We start from the raw sequence: 6000 nt of genomic DNA, 5'->3' as shown, positions 1-6000 counted from the left end.
CTGAGGCCTCCTCGGCCATGTGGAACTATGAAAAAATTAAACTTCTTTTCTTTATAAATTACCCAGTCTCAGGTAATTCTTCGTAGCAGTGTGAAAATGGGCTAATACAATTGTCTAGCTTGGATTCTATCTCAGAGGTATAAATGGTAGGTGTGTTTCTCTTGTATCTCTATAAAATTTACGGCATCTAAAGATTTGCTTGTAACTTTTATTTTTGCTCATAAAATATAAATATAAGTTATCTCAAGAAGTAATCTAAGGAGGGAAAATGGAGAGAACAGCTGATAAAGAGATAAGGGGTAACTAAATTTTTAGGCATTCTATTTCACTAGAATATACATGAAATCTTGACAATTTCTTTTTTGCTTAACCAACTAAGTATAGTTCAAAGACCTCCACCTCATGACAAGAGACATGTTCCAAGAGAATACTCATTATTTCTTCAGAGGTTGATACACATTCAAACAAAGGATACTTGTGGTAATCTATTCTGTCTACATGGACCCTATTAACCTAGAAGAAGATCAAGTATCCTGTTTTAAAAGAAATTCTGCATTTATAAATTGCAAAAACATTTTATCTTCTAAAATATATATAATTGGGTCTTAATATAATTTCAGAAGTAAAACAAAGAGAAAATCAAAATCAGAATTGTATGCCACAGCCTGAATATCGTGGCCAAAAGGATAAATAAAATTAAGGACATTTAAGAACTGACACCACAAAACATAATGAGAAGAAGGAAGTGTTTTCCCCCTCTATTTTTCTATGCCATCATCATCAATGGTCAATTACAACAATTCATTAGAGCACTACAGTAATGAGAGTTAATTGGTAGATTTCACTTTTGTGTGGCCAGTGAGCTATGGTCTGTTATGTGATCACAGGCTCTGACCCAATCTCGTGTATATCTCGTTATGTTTTCCAGGGTCTGAAGATGCTTGAGGACAATGAACAGATAGAATAATTAAAATCCACCACCTAAAGTGGAGAAATGGTGTAATGGTTATATAAAAAGCATGTCTTACTAAGAAAAATTAAGCAGCAATATATTCTGATCTGGTGAAGAACAGCAAGTTAAACATGACAAAATTCCTGGCTTAAATGATTAAAAGTTCAAAATCAACCTTCTAAAGTTTTATGTCATTTTTACATACCATGGTATTTTAAAATTCAGCCAAACATATTCCCTTCAACATTATTATGAAACTACATATTGTATATTCCTTTCCTAGTCTTCGATAGGACTTCCCAGAAACAGACTCTAATATAAGCCACACATGCAAGTGATTTATTAAGAAAGACTTCCCAGGAGAAACCTAGAAGGGAGTCAGGGATGCAGGGTATAGAAACAAGAAGCAGTTAAGTAATGGAAGATTTCAGGCAAGCTCCCACAGAGGGTAACTTCAGACTGATCTTGCAAGGAAATTCTGGGATGTAAGTTTATCATAAGATTGTCCTCTCCGGATGTAAGAAAGCGGGGATTTCATGAGTCAGTCAATCATTGGCTTATGTGCTCCTAAGTAGCTCCAGTAACTCGAGGGCAGTCCTCTGAAGAGAATTGCAAGTGCATGCTGTTAGACGCAAAAACACACGGAAAGTGAGAAAATAGTGTACAGAGATTGTAAATGGGATCTGCAGGGGTCTGAGTAGAACACTGGCAGTGCTGGCTGCAATCTCAAATATTTTTTTAACATCACCCAGAAAATTTCAAAACCAAGCACTCCCTGCATCAGTGTCTTTAAATTGGGTTATGCTGTAGTTTAAAAGAAAAATAAAATCCCTCAATGGCTTAAAATAAAGAAAGTTAATTTTTGTTCAGGATACAATTAGAGACCAGCGGTGGGGGGGCTCTGATCAATGAACTGATTCAAGGATCGAGGTTCTGACAGTGAGCCATCATCTTAAATGTTATCAGCTACTGCACCAGAGAGTATAACTCTAGAAGATTCTGCTCTGGTAAGGCTCCGAATTGACACACGTTACTTTCGCTAATAATTCATTGAGTGGAACTGGTTTCATGTCCCCCTTCCTGCAAGCACAGCAGGACCTGAAAGTGATGTAATAGCACAGGCTTGAATGGTGAAAAGTTGGAAATGCTGAGCAAGTTAATAACAAACACAATACCTGATTAACTCAATATCTAAACAATCATTCTTGAATAAGGCAGGGTTATAAATAAGTAAAAATTTTACTACAATTTTTAAATTGAAATTAAATTGTTTAAATTATAGAATTAATTACAAAAATTAAAAATTTTCAAATTGAAATTATAAAGTCAAGAAACATACAGATGGCTCAAAAAGATGAAATAATTTCTGCATTATATTTGGTGGAGTTGATTTCTGTTAAATCACAAATTGGAAAGTAGTAGACTGGAGATCATATTGAAAAAGAGAATGTTAGATAATGAAATTTAAAATGTAGATATCTTTTAGAAAACTTATATTAAGAGGAATAGGAAGAAAATAGCAGAAGAGCTAGAAGAAAAGGTATATATTTTTCGAGAATAAAACCAAAATTTCTAAAAATCCCCACATCAGAAATGGTGGACCAGGAAGAAGCACAATAGCAGAAAACAAGTTGGTATTTTGCATGGATGAAAGTTCACTAAAACTACTACAGTATATGTTGTTATGATTAAGCATATACATACAAATAGCTCCTTAAATGATGAGCTATATGTATCATCATACATATGGTGGCCAGTTTGGAAATCTACAGCTTAACATTAAGTTATGTAATATAAGACAATGTAAGAACAAATATTGGGGACTGGATTTCCAAGGCAATATTGAAAAAGATGGTACCATGTTGAATGGAGGAAAATGTATTATTTTGTAGAAGAGTTACATTTAGAGGTAGATAAGTTATTTAATAAGAAACATGATTAGAGTTACATTTAGAGGTAGATAAGTTATTTAATAAGAAGCATGATTATATGATGGTAAGATTATACTAGAAATATTTGTGTATTTAGAAATCAAGTGTTCGTTAATCAACTGTCAGTTAATGAACAAAATTTATTCAGCGTCTACTATGTTAGGTAATATAATCTTAAACTTCCTATTACTTGATATCAGTCAAAATCTCAGTACAGAGAAAAAACATTTAGAGAGAATTATCAAGAATATGTAGTCCATTCATACTAGAATTTAGATCTATGTTAACATACATTTTTTGAAGGAAAGTCTATGCAATTGAAAAAAAACTCTGCAAATTGCTTTTTATCCTCATTCAAAATAAAAATATGCCTGTATTACGTCTCATGGGAAAAATGCATATTCTTATATTTTAGATTATTTATTAAAATAGTGTTACTGAGAATATTAGCACTTAATATTCTACCTCTATAGGTAAGTTAATTATCTATCTCTATATGTAACTCTTCTACAAAATAATACATTTTCCTCTATTCAACATGATACCATCTTCTTCAATATTGCCTTGGAAATCCAATATTAAAATATTTATTGTGGCAGCATTGAGATAATTTACTAATTTCTCATCTTTTACATTGCATAGTGCTTTAGACTTCATTCCTTGATCCAGCAAATATTTATTAAGTGCTTGTTATTAACCAATGTTTATTAATTTAACTTGTTCCACCAGGGTTAGTATCATTATCCTTCCTTTATAGGTGAAGTTATTTACCTATATTAAAACAGTTAATTTCAGAGCTTGTAGGAAAACAACATGTATTAGCACCTATTACGTGCCCTTGCATCTCACTAGCAACCCTGGAGTCACGGAGATGAATAAATAATAATCTCCACTCTTCTCTACCTAAGCCTTTCTTATCCATGGTTGTAGGATTTTCTTAATAAAACCGATGAGGGAATGGAGAACCCTGTACTTAGGAGCAGCGATGCCATCAGTTTCCAAGAAGTATCAGAGGAATGCAAGCTGAAATGAAGTTCTATTTTGAAGTAGCTGAAGTTGAAGCTTTGGGACCATTTACAGAGATGATGTTGCTCCTCACTTCTTCGACAGAATTTCAGAGATTCTGAAATCTCTTCTTGCACCAGCTAGACCATCAAAGGGTGCCATGACTGGATCACATATTATAAATACTCCCTTCCCACAAAAATACCTTTTATTAGATTGTACCATGGCAAGATAGCATTTCCCAATATTTAGAAACTCCTTACTCTGTGAAAAATGTTTTCAATTTTTCTTTCTTCCAAAATAAAAATGTATAAAAATTTGTTTCCTAACCTTGGTTTCATGAATAGTTAATATGTGTCTTCAAAGCAACTCATTTCCTTATACTTTGGAGATATTGATAACATTTCCCACTTTTGATTGGTTTCTAAAAAGCTTAAAGTCAAATTTGTGGTCTACCTTTAGCACGTGTATAGAACTTCAGGGCAAATATTTTATGTACCAACCTCATGCTGGCTGGATTTTACTTTTTTAATTTTTACTCTCCTTTTCCTTTGGCTTTCTTACACATTTAAAATTCATTTTGTCTTGCATGCAGGTTTATAAGTTCTAATAAGTTATTTTTGTTACAACTCAAAATAATGTTAAATAAGTAACCAAAAACACAACACTCTGGAATTTATTTTCAAGGAACATGTTTAGAGCTAATAAAATTTTTTGTTGAAAAGGTTGGAAACAGCAGTAGCAATACAATTCTTGGATAAGTCACTGGAAATAAAGAAGACTGTTTTGAGAAATGCTGTTGGTAAGATAAGAAATATGTAAGTGAAAGTTTCAGACATACAAATCATAGGTATAGGCTGAAAAACAGCACAGACAGCGTTCATGGTTTTACAAGCTGAGCTGTTGGTAGAACCAGTTTTCAACCTTTTTTAGCTCCCATGCTGGGGAACATGGATATTGACTGTGTATGAAACAAGCACACTGGAAAACTTGAACAGTAGAATACAATTGTAAAAGGTGCCAATGGAAGATACACTCTGCACCTAATGACTGTAGATTTATTTATAAGGAGAGGCATAACCTGAAAGATCTTCCAAACACAATTATCCCAAATCCCCTGAAATGAGGCTAAGAATATAATAACAACAGCCAAACATAAAGGTCATGGCTTTGGACTTAACTGTAAGTTCTTGAATGATTATATTTATATTTATATATTATATAATATATATCGTATAATATATATGAATATATACTATTTGTTATAATATATAAATATATAATATATATTGGTATTATATTTTTTATATTTATATAAAATATAATCATTCAAGAAGGCTGACAATAATTAAGCCCATTGACTTTCATTTACTGGTGACCTGGTATGCTCCAATTAATCACTAAGTGGGTTGCAGAAATATCTCCCACGCCTCCTTACTTCCATTCTCAAATCGAGAGGCCTTAATTACAAATAAACTATCTATGTATTTTAAAAATTCACTCAGAAATGAGAGCCATTACTATTAACACATCAGAAATAATATTGTGTACCTGAACACAGAAATTACCTACTTTGTAACCTAAGATGGTTGGCATGATGTTTAACCAGTGTGAAACATGAAGGATATAGACATTTATCCAGAATGAAGGATATAGACATTATCCAGAATACATGTTAAAGAAATTTGTTTTCCATTTTTATAAGGTATGAGTTCATAGCCTTAATAATCCATTTGACAAGCAACCATGTCTGGGAATTATCACGGCATCTAATCCAGGTACAGAGCTTCCTGGAGAGAATCCAGCAGAGCCGTCCTTATAAACCTCCCATAGCCAAGACAAGCAGGGCAGGGATGAAATGCCTGTGATTCGAAGTCCAGTTGCCTGACCTGAAATCCTTTTGCTGAGAAACAGGATTTTTAAAAGGATTAATTTTGATAATGTACGTCATGAACATAGCAACTGAATAAAAGCATTTGATAGTTTGCTTTTATTTCTCACTGTGAGAAATTTTAACCTTAATAATCTGCTTATATCTTGTCCATTAAAACTTAATTTAACTAACATAAAGTATCCCTTAACATGATTTATTAAAGATTTTTATCTTAGATC

The sequence above is a fragment of the Homo sapiens genome, chromosome 5 (assembly GCF_000001405.40).
Source record: "Homo sapiens chromosome 5, GRCh38.p14 Primary Assembly".
Classification (NCBI taxonomy): domain Eukaryota; kingdom Metazoa; phylum Chordata; class Mammalia; order Primates; family Hominidae; genus Homo; species Homo sapiens.
The sequence above is the reverse complement of the archived record's forward strand: the minus strand, read 5'-3'. Positions refer to the sequence as shown.